Raw genomic sequence first — 14,944 nt, forward strand, 5'->3', positions numbered from 1 at the left:
ACCAGATCCCTTTTATGCATGGCTGCATGAAATGAAATGAAAACAGAAGATGACCATTTTTCATTTTCCTGTTCAGATTCTGATCTGTAAGTACTCCCTGAGATCCTACTACGGGCCAGATGCCAGTTTATGTGTTCTTAGATATGATTCCTTGATAATATATAACCTGTAACACACACACACACACACACACACACACACACACACACACACACACAACATGTGAGATACTTAACATATAACCTCTGGCTGGCCTCAAACCCCCTTCTGACCTCGTCTCTGAGTTTTGCTGTCTTCTTCAAAAAGAGAAACTTGCTTACCCATTGCTGAAGCTCAGGTTTACTGATGCTGAATGTTTTATAAATCCGATAAATACAATTCAGAAGTTTTGATGTTGATCTTTTTTTCTCTCTTATCTGTCAGGCTGCAGAGATCAGAAGCACTCTTGCATGGGGGTCAAGAGGCACATTGCCTGTCAATGTCTTCATGGTTGATGATACAGTCTTCAAACCAAAAAGAAATATGTTCAAGTGTTGCCAGGAAAATAAATACAGGACTTTAATGCCACAAGAGTCATATTTTTGACCTGTTTCTCTTAATAATCTTAATCAAATACATATGACTACATGTGTATATTTTCCTAAAATGTATAATCTCTGAGTAATATCTTTAAGGATTGTGATAGATTATACTCATATCTTAGAAAGATAGCTCTAATAGTTTGAGGAATGAATTGGGGAATATAGAAACAGGATGTTGTTGCAATAATCTAAACAAAATAATAGGGCCTCAAATAGCACAGAAGCAATGAGAACACTGAGCAGCTAAAAAACAAAAATGGTAGTTTTCCAGGTAGATCTTGATTAGGGGTTAAATAAGGGTTGATATTTCAAGACTTTTAGTTGATACACTTAAGAGAAAATTATGTAATTAGCATGGACAACAAATACATGAAGAAAACTAGTTTAGATCCAAGATTACCTTGGGATACTTTGAAACATCTGTATTGGATGATAGTGGTCAAGAACTGGTCAAGGGTGATGATGTGGGGTCAACCACGTTTATACCAGAAAGAAAGTCAGGGGCATGTGGAGGATAAGAGAAGGCTAAGGGCCAAAAATAAAATCCTAAAGAATTACAACACTTAAAGACTGAAGGGAGAGCCAAAGAAAGAATCTGCAGAAAGATTCTGATAGCTAGGAGGAGAGGAAGAGTGCTAGTAAAAGAAGCTAAAGAGAGATTTTTTTAAAAATGTTAAATGCTACCAACTGCAATTAAGAAAAATTACTAAAAAGCATGATTTAGATTTAAAAGGGTTTTCCCAGGCAACTAACAGAAAGTAGTTTATTTAGAGTGACCAAAACAGAAGGCAGATTGCAAGGAACTGGGGAATGGAAGGAAGACTAAGAAGTGACGACAGCGGCCGGGCGCAGTGACTCACGCCTGTAATCCCAGCACTTTGGGAGGCCGAGATGGGCAGATCACAAGGTCAGGAGATCGAGACCATCCTGGCTAACACGGTGAAACCCGGTCTCTACTAAAAATACAAAAATTAGCTGGGCGTGGTGGCGGGCGCCTATAGACCCAGCTACTCGGGAGGCTGAGGCAGGAGAATGGCGTGAACCCAGGAGGCGGAGCTTGCAGTGAGCCCAGATTGTGCCACTGCACTCTAGCCTGGGCAACAGGGCGAGACTCCATCTCAAAAAAAAAAAAAAAAAAAAAAAAAAAGAAGTGACGACAGCTCACAGAAGAGGAAACTTTCAATAAGCTAACACAAAAAGCAACAAAGGGATGAACATTCATTATTACGAAATAAAAATGAGGTTATCTGAAATATACATTTAAAGTATAAAAATAAAAGTCATAATTATCAAAACTTACTGATTCTCTTTTTTCTGTATATTTTCTCTAAATATTATAAAAACAGTAGAGGCTAGTTTTGTAAAAGAATTCCCATTGTGCAAAAGAAAAGCTACATCCAAGTGTAGAACTCAGCTTGCCAGTTTTGAAGACAAAACTTTAAAGTTATTTAGGATACCTATCTGAACATAGTTAAACTAAAATCACTATAAATATTATTTTCATATCTTTTGAAAAGTAGCAAATATCAGGATTCTGGCACCATGAAGTAAAGGAAGGTAGATATATCTATCAAAACAATAGTAGCTAAAGTTGTTGAAACAAGCTAAAACTTAAATGCTATTTTAACAAGATCTCTAGGGCATAGTGTTTAACTTATGAGGCATTTAGAAATGTCTGTTTTAAATAGATCAATATAAAATTTTGTGGTTAGTACACAAAATATTATTTAGGGTAAAATGAATCTCTATTGGTCTCTTAAAACAAATTGCCCTTATTTTAACAAAAAAATGTCTACAGAGGATTTTATAAATCTACACACATATAAATGTATAGTTACTAAATTTTGTAGTTGCCTAAAATTGTCATTGATTTTTTCCAAGATCATAAAGTTCACTCTGGACATATGTTCCCCAGCTAGAGAAAACTCTTCCCACACTTCCTTGTAGCTAAGTAGGGCCTTATGACTTCATTTAATTAAATATAAATGAAAAGTTTTAAATTGCTTGGTCTTGCCTGCATTCTTTTTAGTTTACATAAAGTAGAACAGTAATGTGCCTATGATCTAGCTTTGACTTTTGAGGTATATTTTACATAATGTAAAATGTATAAATTTTAAGTGGAGCATTCTGACAAAATATATACACCCATCTAACTATCACTCAATTGAGATGTGGAACATTTTCATTACTTCTAAAATTTTCTTATGCCACTTTTTCATCCGTGTGGTTTCATGTTTCAGTAGGTTCTTTTTTTATTTCTTTGTGTATTTTCATCTATTCGCCTATTAATGGGAATTTGGGTTGTTTCTAGTTTATGGCTATAATGAGAAGAGCTACTATACTATATTCTTGTTAAAATTTTTGTATAAACATATGTTTCCACTTTTCCCAAACAAATATGTAGAATTGCTGGGCTATGGGAAGAGTATGTTTAACTATTATAAAAACTCTCAGAACAATTTCCAAAGTGCTGTACCATTTTAGATTCCCACCTGCAACATATATAAGAGCAAGCTTTTATCATGCAGATGATGACAATGCCCTAAGGGATGAAGAAGCAACTATATGGGAATAAACTTGGTCCCTGAATTGGGCCATAATCTCCCACCAGCTTGGCCTATTTACCTTGGCTCTTTTCCATAAAACAGATGGACAGTGAGATGCTGAGGGGGTAAGCAATGTGTTTAGTCTACTCAGTGTAGGTACGAATGGGGTACATATTTTGTAGTGAATGTCTAAATAATAAAATCAACTAAAATCCCATCTGCCTTTAAAAAAAAAAGTCACCGTGTATTACATTACTAAACAATGTCAGGGAAGAAACTACTTCTTCCCACCGGGGCATACCATTCATATACCCCCGCCCTTGGTATGTCACTGAAATAAATGACTGTCTTGCTCAAGCCACTGTATATTTTCAAAATTTACTTATTCTTGATCTTTTTCTTTAAAATAGCTGAATTTGAGGTATACATACTATCTTAAAACTATGCATATACTGTATTAACATTTGACATTACTGATACATACAAATTAGTTAACATTTAGGGCACATTCTTAAACATGAGATATGAACTGCAATTAATCAGCACTAGTAGCCTATTATCTACTTTTTATATTACACAGTCAGAATACTTTCTACTGGACTGATGAATACTTTCATAAAAATTTAGGGATACCTGACTTCTACAATGGAGACCTACATTACACAGTAGGATTTTAGGCAATCATCCTGATATCCCTGAGCAGTAGAGCTTATCTCAGTAGCACTTATTGAACACCATATCACCAGGCACACAAATATACAACCTCTCTTTATAAATTCTCTCTCAGCTTGAACAAATAAAGTAAATGCAACACCCACATCAAACTTCATCCACAGCACTTTACTCTCTTGCCCAATGGCCTTGATATCTGGCTGCCTTTAGCACCTTTACTTCAACTTTAGGATTAAATATGTCTTCACTTTTGAGTTACAACTGTGGCTTCTCATAGGTGTAGTTTCTTAGGTTTTTTTTTTTTTTTTTCCAAGATAAGGACATATCCATAGACTAGATTAGTGTACTCCAAACCTACTCACCATTGGTGATACAAAACTAACATCTGCATGAGTGGAAGAAAGTAGGTACAAGAAAATCCTTGCTATTCTTTATGGAGTTTGGTTAACAGAATTTGTTACTTTTTAGACCTCTAATTATAGGATAAAAATCAATTTGAAAAAAACCTACCTGCTTTAAAAATGCATGTGTGTGTGTGTGTGTGTGTGTGTGTGTGTGTGTGTGTGTATCTCTAGCCTATATACTCCCGGCCAAGTCCTCCGGGATCACATCTGTAGTTGAACAAATTTTTTTTTAATTTATTCCAGAAAGGTAAACAACTTTCATCAACTATTGACAGACATTTCAGTAAGTGTGTAAGAAGGGACTATTAACAGATTTGAGCTTGTTTTAGGTGACTTGGGGGAACGTTTAAAGACATGTGACTTTACTATGAATAGCATATTGTCATGAAGTAAAATTTTTTGAACATTTTAATGGAGCTTATCTAGAAGCAAAGGCTAAGAAAAATTAACATAATAATTCAAAAAGGAGAAGCTGTAACATATTAAACAGAATAAGGAGCATGGTTAGTCGTTTTTATGACATAGGTATGTGATTCACAATTTTGTCTGTGTTCAGACATGATTATAACGTGGTCTTTTTTCATTTGTTTCAATCTATCACACTCACAGAGTGTTCTTGTCTAATGCTGATGTTCTGAGAAATTGTGTTCAACAGGACATTGAGCTCTATCTATGAGCACCAGGTCAGCTCCTTGATATCCGTAGTGGCTTTTGTTCTGTGACATTGGTTTCCCGTGCTGCCATAGCAAATTATCACAAAATTAGTGGCATAAAATATAAAATTGTTTTTCATTTATGTAGGTCAGGAGTCCAAGTCAAAATAAAGGTGTCAGCAGGGCTGTTTTCCCATCTGTAGTCTCTAAGGGAGAATTTGTCTCCTTGAATATTCTAGCTTCTAGAGGTCAGCTACATGTCTGGATTCTACTTTTTTCCTCCATCTTTAAAGCCAATAACAGCAGGTCAAGTCCTACTCACATCCCATCACTCTGACCTCTGCTAACTCCTTCCACTTTCATGGACACTTGTGATGACAATGGGCTAACCCAGATAATACAGGCGAATCTTGCCATACCCAGATTCTTAAATGTAATATATCTGCAAGGTCTTCACTGTCATGTAAGATAATGTATCCACAGGTTCTGGGGGTTAGCACATGTACATCTTTGGGGAACAATTATTCTGCTTAACATATCATCTCACTCTGATGCATAAGACTATTTAAAATAGACAATATACAAGTAGAAAGAGTTCACGTACAAGAAAATACATCCCAATCAAGGGGTCTTGGTTTGGTTGATGAAGTGGTTCAGCAATGTCACAGACACAGGTTCTTTTCATCTCTCAGACTTCTTGTCCACTTCATCGTTATCTTCTTATCATTGTTATCTGGGCTTCTGGTACCAATCCAGAGAACATCTTTCCTAGTTGTCAATTAAAAAATGAGCAAAGACTGGCTCCCAATGACTCTCTTAACTATGGGAAACTGTTTTTCCAAATTCTCCAGCAAATCACTTCTGAGTTGACTGTTTCAAATCACCAAGACCTGCTCACTTTGAATTAATCATTGGCAAGAAGAATGGTCTGACTCTTTAGACGTATCAGTGAGGGTGGAGTGGGAAATCATTTCAATTTTCCTCATCACATAAGGCACTTGGCACCCTTTAATGGAGCTAAATAAGGAATTAAAATTCTAAAAAACATACGAGGTCTGTTGTTTGGATTGTAAGTCAGATGTGGCCAAACACCAGATTACTACTGATCAGAATATATCTTAGTGAATGGTCACAATAAAGTAATGTGAGAACCTAGGCAGGTTTTAAAAATTAAAGACATACATAACAAATACCCAGCTTGGTGCAAACAAACTGGGACTATTAATCAGTAATTAATAGAATACTTAAGAACTAGAAGTCGTAAGTATCAATAGGCAGGACAAACAGTTTAATTCAATAGACTCAGTAGTCAATAAGAAGAGACAGGGCATTGAATAGCCAGAGGCAAAGCTTTAATAACAATAAGGCCTTATAACTGAGACTATCTTCTTTCTTAGTCCAGTGCCTGGCACACAGAAATTGCTTAATAAATATTCTCAGGTCTAATGTAATTAATAGACTTTAACATAAGAACTTGTGTTAGGGTTCACTTAGAGGGATAGAACTAATAGGATATATGGGGGTTTATTAAGTATTAACTTATGTGATCTCAAGATCCCACAATAGGCTGTCTGCAAGCTGAGGAGCAAGGAGAGCCAGTCTGAGCCCCAAAACTGAAGAACTTGGAGTTTGATGTCCGAGGGTGGGAAACATCCAGCATGGGTGAAAGATATAGGCTGGGAGGCTAGGCCCATCTCGTCATGAGAGGTGACTGTGTGCTGGCAGCCCTCACAGCCCTCGCTCGCTCTCGGTGCCTCCTCTGCCTGGGCTCCCACTTTGGTGGCACTTGAGGAGCCCCTCAGCCCACCGCTGCACTGTGGGAGCCCCTTCCTGGGCTGGCCGAGGCCGGAGCCGGCTCCCTCAGCTTGCAGGGAGGTGTGGAGGGAGAAGCGTGGGAGGGAACCGGGGCTGCACGCCAAGCTTGCGGGCCAGATGGAGTTCCGGGTGGGCCTGGGCTTGGCGGCCCGGCACTCGGAGCAGCCTGCTGGCACTGCCTCCCTGGGCAATGAGGAGCTTAGCACCCCGGCCAGCGGCTGCAGGGGGTGTGCTGGGGCCCCCAGCAGTGCTGGCCCATGGGTGCTGCGCTCGATTTCTCGTGGTGCCTTAGCTGCCTTCCCGTGGGGCAGGGCTCGGGACCTGCAGCCCACGATGCCTGAGCCTCCCACCCCCTCCGAGGGTTCCTGTGCGGCCTGAGCCTCCCCAAGGAGCGCCGCCCCCTGCTCCATGGCACCCAGTCCCATCGACCACCCAAGGGCTGAGGAGTGCGGGCGCACGGCATGGGACTGGCAGGTAGCTCCACCTGCAGCCCCCGAGCGGGATCCACTGGGTGAAGCCAGCTGGGCTCCTGAGTCTGGTGGGGATGTGGAGAACCTTTATGTCTAGCTCAGGGATTGTAAATACATCAGTCGGCACTCTGTATCTAGCTCAAGGTTTGTAAACACACCAGTCAGCACCCTGTGTCTAGCTCAGGGTTTGTGAATGCACCAGTCGACACTCTGTATCTAGCTACTCGGGTGGGGCCTTGGAGAACCTCTGTGTCGACACTCTGTATCTAGCTAATCTGGTGGGGACGTGGAGAACCTTTGTGTCTAGCTCAGGGACTGTAAATGCAGCAATCAGCACCCTGTCAAAACAGACCACTCGGCTCTACCAATCAGCAGGACGTGGGTGGGGCCAGATAAGAGAATAAAAGCAGGCTGCCGAGGCAGCAGTGGCAACCTGCTCAGGTCCCCTTCCACACTGTGGAAGCTTTGTTCTTTCACTCTTTGCAATAAATCTTCCTGCTGCTGCTCACTCTTTGGGTCGACACTGCTTTTATGAGCTGTAACACTCACCGCGAAGGTCTGCAGCTTCACTCCTGAAGCCAGCGAGCCCACGAGCCCACCGGGAGGAAAGAGCAACTCCAGACTTGCCACCTTAAGGGCTGTAACACTCACGGGGAAGGTCTGCAGCTTCACTCCTGAGCCAGCGAGACCACGAACCCACCAGAAGGAAGAAACTCCGAACACATCCGAACATCAGAAGGAACAAACTCCAGACGCGCCACCTCAAGAGCTGTAACACTCACCGCGAGGGTCCACGGCTTCATTCTTGAAGTCAGTGAGACCAAGAACCCACCAATTCCAGACACAGTCACTTCATGTTTGTCTGCCTGCTTTAAATTGGCTGGTGGCTGATTAGATGGTGTCCGTCCAATTAAAGGTGGGTCTGCCTTCCCCAGCCCACTGACTCAAAAATGTTAACCGCCTTTGGCAACACCCTCACAGGCACACCCAGGATCAATATTGCATCCTTCAATCCAATCAAGTGGACACTCAGTATTAACCATCACAGAACTTATTCTGAAGTGCTGCTAAGCTGGAATGTTGAGCTGAAATAAGATAAATTGAGATCACCTGTAACTTGTAGGCTATGAGGCTTATTATGCCAGGAAGCAAGAATGAGGAGGGATAGTGCAGGTAGCACAAATTGATAATACTTTCTCTCAAACTCAGCAGGAAATAAGAGCTTGTTTCTGTATTTTTTTAGTTAAACTGTTATACTTTAGTTTGCATTTGTTGCTGAAAAGAAGAAAGAAGAACAACAATATACTAAAGAGAATTCCAGTTTCTGGTCCAGCATGTAAGGAGCTTCGAAGTCACCACCCCATACTAACAGCAAGTAAAAAGCCAAACAAATGGAAAAATCAACACCTCTTCTTAGATTCCTCAGATAAGTGAGGTTGTAGGCCAAACCACTGCTCCTAAAGCTGGAGAGACAGGTAGACGGAGAGAATCATAACTTACACGAGCAGAAACCCCTGCATGAACAACTAGCTGCGTGGATAGGAAAACCTCAACTAGTGATTGACCATTTATTGTAGACTCACTGTGGTCAAATCCAGGAGTTAAAAACTCCAGGGGCACCAGTTATGAGAGGTCCCCTACACTTCTGTGAGTTTTCCCTCTGGGAGCTCTACCAGGTTCTCACAGTAAATATTGGAGACGAATCCCCTTCATACTTCCAGCACAAAGAGGGGAAAAAAGTAACCATTGAAATATACCAGAGTATCCTGGTTTTCTTAACAAAGCCTGCCCTCAGGAAACAGTTTCTTACTAGAGCTTAAACTACTGGGATTTTACCAGAGCCTAATCAGCCTGTGGAAAAATAAATATCCAACACTAGCCCTCTCTAGTTATTCTGTACTACCTAAGAGTGGGGGGCGGGAGTGGGGGGAAGTAAAGAAAGAACTGAAAACTGCTTGTGAAGTTCACAGCCCAAGGGCTAAAGCTGACTAAAAGATTGACACCTAATCATAAGACTACAGAACATTTTCCCTCTCTCCACCCCTTACCACTACATTACTGAAGGCCTTTTTTTTTTAATTTTGTGAACTTATTTTCATGATTGATCTGTTTTTTAAAATTTTATTATTATTATACTTTAAGTTTTAGGGTACATACTAAAGGCTTTTTACAACATTCCTTTTACTTGGTTCCTTCAACCAAGTATATTATGTCCCCTTTCAAAGAAAAAAAATGCAAGGAATACTAAAAGGCAAAAAAAAAATTTTTTTTAACTGACATAGCAAGCATAAGTGCTAGACACAGATCTATCAGGGATATTGGAATTATCAGAACATGAGTTTAAAACAACTTTCGTATGCTAAGAGCTCTCATGGAATGAGACAAAGGCCAGAATAGATAATGTAAGCAAAGAGGTGAAAGGTCTAAGAAAGAATTAAAAAGAAATGCTAGAGATAAAAAAAAAAGGAACAATACTGCCAGCACAACAATGCTGTAACATAAACAAAGAATGCTTTCAATAGACTCATCACAGCTGAGAAATAATCTCTGAGCTTAAGGATATGTCAATAAAAACTTCCAAAAATGAAAATCCAAGAGAAAAAGACTAAAAGAATGAAACAAAACCCCAAAACCCAGAATAGAATATTCAAGAACTCTGAGACAACTACAAAGAGTGTAACATACATGTAATAACAATACCATGAGACGAGAAAGGGAAAGGAACAGAAGTAATATTTGAATAAATAATGACTGAGAATTTTCCCTAAATTAATGTCAGACACACAATCACAGATCCAGTATGTTCACAGAACACCAAGGAGAAGAAATGTCAACAAACTACATCTAGGCATGTCAAATTAAACTGCAGAAAAAAACAAAGAAAAATACATTAAAAAGATAATTAAACTGTCCCCAAACGTCCTTCCCATTGGTTTTAGATAGTCTCTTACTATTACAGTATCAATTCATCATTCTCATCCTAACAAGTAAAACACAAGAGATTATTTACTTAAGTCAAATAAACATTTAGCAAACTATCAGGCATCAGATAAGTTATTTCACACGAATTTGAACTTACTGAAATAACTGGCTTTGAATTAAAGCAAACCTGAGTTTTACTTCTTGGTCACACTCTAAACACGTTTGACATTTAAAAAAATACTACCTTAATTTCACTAAGGCTTTGTTTTTGATGCCATAAAAAAGATAGCAGTATTTATTTAGCAGGACTATTATATAATAAATTATGTCTGTAAAACTAGGTAATATCTAATAATAGTAGCTTCTTTGTATACAACAGCTACTCTCTTTAGGAGTAGTGAAAAGTTACAGAAATATAGAAATATGAAGGAAACAGAACAAGAAATATGTTCCTAATGTTATTTTCTAGCCTTCTAATCATATCTCAATTCCATAAAACTCATTTTGACAGAAAATCCAGTCCCAGTCATTTCAGGCAATCTTACAACAGGGCAGAGGCCAACATCACAAATCCACTCCAACTGGAGCATTTTCTGTCCTTGATTTCTATTAGACCAGTCTTCTCTCTAGATCATATAAACAGAAGCCTATAGCATTTCAAAAAATGTCTTGCTGATTCAGCAAGCAGAATAAACATCAGGAAAACAAGAGATAACATTACACAATTAAGCATATGAAGTCATATCTCTAGTCAAAATTTGATTGCAAAAATCTTTTGGCCCCAAAGGCCAGGAATTCCTCCCAGCATTTCCAGCAATGTTCTCTCCTTGGCCTCTTCTGTAGGGTCAGCAGCTTTAAGGCAATGTGTCTCAACTCTACTTGCATATTGTAATCATCTGGAGTGTTTTTAAATAGACTGCTGCTTGGGCCCTGCCCTCAGAAAATTTGGGCTTAATTGGTCTCTGGTGAGGCCTTGGGTGTACTGTTGAAGTGAAAGCTCCCCAGGTGATATTAATGAGCATTCAGGGCTCAGAGCCACTGATTTAAAGCAAACTTTTACTTAAGCCTCAGGGCAATTCCTCTGTTCATCCCCGGGCAACACCCTCTGTACTATGAGTCTGTATTCCATTCACTTAGAATTGCCACTTTGCCTCCTGGGGTCCATGCTCGTTGCCTCGTGCTAGTTTGTTCACTGATATGCTCCCAGTTATTCCTTCCATCGGCTGTGGATTGACTGCTCCACCACTTGTGCATCAGTGCATCACTGTATTCCTCGGTTATTCACTGATTCTTGGCATTGAGGAAATGGCTTCTTTGGTGTGGGATTCTCTGCACTGAGGCAAACTATGCGTTTTAAATGTCAGCTGTTTCTTGAACGAAGGTCACCCAGCTCTAAAGTAGTGTGTAAAATGTGCTCTTCTCTTTAAGGAGATGATGTACATCAAGCACTTTGCATATGGAAGCACTCAAAAAAGGCCTCCTTTGTGAATAACATTGGTTTCCTTGCCTATATTTTTTACTGGGCTCAGTGTTCTGTGGCTCTGGGGTCAAGTTCACAAGTACCATAACAATGATCTCTAACAACATTCCTCATGTTACCTGTCTACACTTTAGCTCTAAGATTTATCAGATTTTCTTATTCACTAGGCATAGTTTAAATCTCTTTTCAATTAAAATGTACAAGTTCTCTTATGTAATTACCAAATTCCTTTGCTCCTAAGAACTCATCCTTTTGGGGTCTCATGGAGGCTGTGGCCATCACTTTTCTTGCACATAAATAGTGAATTGTCCCTTACCCAAAATGAAAGCAGATCACCTATGAGATTAAAAGGATAGTCTTACTGAAAAACATTTCCTCATATTTAATGATAAATATATCCACTCCTACATCAATTTTGGGTTAAACCCTTACTTAGCACTCCACAAAGATAATATTCATGTGTGTCTGAGAATTTCTGTATTCACACTTACATTATTATAAGACTTTTCTCCTTTATTTTGTTTGCAAGTTCATTGTAACATAAATACAAAATTCACATTTTTACAAACACTGTGAGAAATGTTCTAAGAGTCAGTAAGGACAGAGAATTAGCTCTCTTTATTTTGTGATCTGCCTGTGAATAACACCCCCAGCCATTTTCACAAGATGGTATATGGTTTTACCTTTGCACAACCCATTATTTTATGAAGCAGTATTATCAGTAAAGAAATATGATTACTACGAAACCACACTGTGAAGACCAGAACTGAATGCTACAATAGAAAAGAGGTTTCAATAACCATTCTCAATTTGTTTCCTTTTTCTTTTCCTTATGAAAATCCTAGTAACTAGTATTTTAAATCTAATTATCCTAGTAATTAGATTTCTAGTAATTAGTCTATCTTTTTAAAATCAGCTCTAACCTGAGATGTCAATGATGTTTAAATTATTTTAGCTGATCAATTTCATAATTCAAGATTTGACTTGTCACAGGAGATTCTGAGGAGAATCATGGTTAAGTTCAATAAGAAATTGGTAATAAATGTTTAAGGAGATTTACACACAAAAGTTTTGACTTGGTTTTCCTCAGTCATAAAATGAACTTTAAGAAGCATCTTTATTTATATTTAGACACATGAAATCATTGTGGCTTACAACCAAAAGAAAAAATTCTTTTTCTTGCTTATAAAAATTCTTTCAGCCAATGACAGCCCTCAGTATCTAGACTTTGGCTAATATTTTCACTCCACAAATATGAAAAAAAGTTATTCCTCTCAATGGCAGAGGTGACAAAAACTGGTAGTATGGGTGTCTTTGATATTCTAACAATCTTTCTCTTAACGCTCATTCCCTAAAGACACTACACACCACCAAATACATGCACACACACAGACATGCACACATACACTGAAAATATATCTGCTAACACACCTTTACCACGTAGGAAGAGCTATTTACAGCTGGGTGGCCCCGTGAATATGGAAACTCTTTTGTCTCCACAGTTACCTTTTAGACTTTCCCTCCCTTTCTCAGACCTGTGCTGTCGCCTGTTCCTATCCAGAGATGTTCTCTCAGCTCTCAGTGACCTGTCTGCATAATCTCTCCAGTCCAAAATTACCACAAGTCTTGGCCCTATCCCACCCCCATTTTCAAACAGGCCTTTACTCCAGAGAGGCCATAGGCAGCTCTTAACAACAGCCTGGTCTAATTTCCCTACAAAAATCCAGATGAATCTATTCCTGCCCATAGTGTATCCAGCCCCTCTCTAATATGAAATGCATGTGAATTTTGTCTAGGGAATTAACAGATCCCAGAGGGAGTGCGTCAGTGGTGGGAATGGAAGGCAGAGGCAGTTGACAGTAAAAGTAACTTTTACAAATGGATTTATGTTTTCATCATGACTTATTGTCCAACCTTCTAAAAATCTAGTATTTTTATGTTACCTTTAAGAATAAGCAAGTGTTGCCAGGTATGGTTGCACTCTCCTGTAGTCTCAGCTACTCAGGAGGCTGAGGCAGGAGGATTGCTTAAGCCTAGGTGTACTGGGCTGCAATGTGCTATGTCAAGTGGGTATCTGCACAAAGTTTGGAATCAATCTGATGAACTCCTGGGAGCCAGGAGACCACTAGGTTGCCTAAGAAGTGGTGAGCTAGCCAAGGTCAGAAAAAAAGCAGGTCAAAATTTCAGTGCTGATCAGCTGCAGGATTGCACCTGTATATAGTCACTGTCCTCCAGCTTAGGCAACATAGGGAGACCCTATCTCTTAAAAAAAATAAATAAATAAGTAAATAGATAAAATTAAGCAAGTATTGCAAAAAAACTAATTATATTTACAGACTATAGGTAAGGGAGAGGAAAAGTCCTGACGCAAGCTACAGGAAATTAAAACAGACAAGTAAGCCCTTGAGTCTAATTGAAGAGCAAGGATCACTAGGAAGGAATCCTGGGCTTAGAAGCACTTAAAAGTGCTGTTCCTCAAACCTCTTCTCCCCCGCCCCTGCCCCCCTCCCCCATTTTCAAATCTAGAGTGCCTCAGATGCCAGGTTTTAACATCCAGGATCAGTCTCAGCCCTGCCAGAGACCTGCCTTGGGAGGTTGGAGCTGGAACCCTAAAATACTAGAAGCCTGGATAATAGGCTTCTAAACACAATAGACTAAACTATGTTGCTAGACAACTAAATTAGAAGTTAATTTTTTGTCCTTCTTATGATGATTAGCTTTTACAAGAATATGAATAGAGTATTATACTTCAGGAACATTGTGATTTAAATTAGCTTCTACAAACCTGTATTTTGTTCATACAGCTGATTCTCAAGAAGTCCCAAGATTGAAGATCCTTGGAATGTAGAGAATTGTTCTTTATTTCCCATAAAAAGGAGACCTTCAAGAACTTAACCACTTTCCCCACAGTATTTTGATGAGTATTGGAAGAATATAGAAGTTTGTTTCTCTATGAGTGAAACATTCGTCATTGAGTAAATTTCTGTATTTGGCTGATGAGGGAGGATACAATTCCAGCCAGCCTGCTGACAGGCTATGTGGGAAATGGTAAATAAATAGATAAAGGATAGTGTCCTAAGGCTGAAAATAGAGTTTTTGGAGGTGTCTTGAAAGCCATTTTAAGGAATACTACAGTCTTAGAAGGTTGATTTTCTCATCCTCATTTTATATTTTATTATGTGAAGACACAAATTTATTGCTTTGCCCTGAATCCCATTACTTATAAACGGCAGAGGGGGGATTTAGCCCTACATCACACTCCATATTGTTTTAAGCAGGCACTGCTGCCTTTCAATGTTCAGAAATATGTGCTTTCTACAAGCTCATTTATTTCTATATTTGAGTAGTAATTGTTTTTTTTTTCTCCTCTCTTACTTGCAAAGCTCCTTTTGAACAAATTT

At 39.1% G+C, this 14,944-nt stretch overlaps 1 pseudogene, besides 1 other annotated feature; it reads left to right on the top strand.

Moving 5' to 3' along the window:
* Window positions 10,870-11,371: an enhancer, noted in NCBI's record as "NANOG hESC enhancer chr3:78161671-78162172 (GRCh37/hg19 assembly coordinates)". NCBI's record gives its function as "activates a minimal SCP1, AML or CMV promoter by ChIP-STARR-seq in primed H9 embryonic stem cells {active_cell/tissue: H9 hESC(primed)}" and the evidence as "EXISTENCE:reporter gene assay evidence [ECO:0000049][PMID:30033119]".
* Window positions 13,508-13,807, top strand: RN7SL647P (RNA, 7SL, cytoplasmic 647, pseudogene; annotated as a pseudogene).

This window comes from Homo sapiens, chromosome 3 (genome assembly GCF_000001405.40).
Source record: "Homo sapiens chromosome 3, GRCh38.p14 Primary Assembly".
NCBI classification, from domain to species: domain Eukaryota; kingdom Metazoa; phylum Chordata; class Mammalia; order Primates; family Hominidae; genus Homo; species Homo sapiens.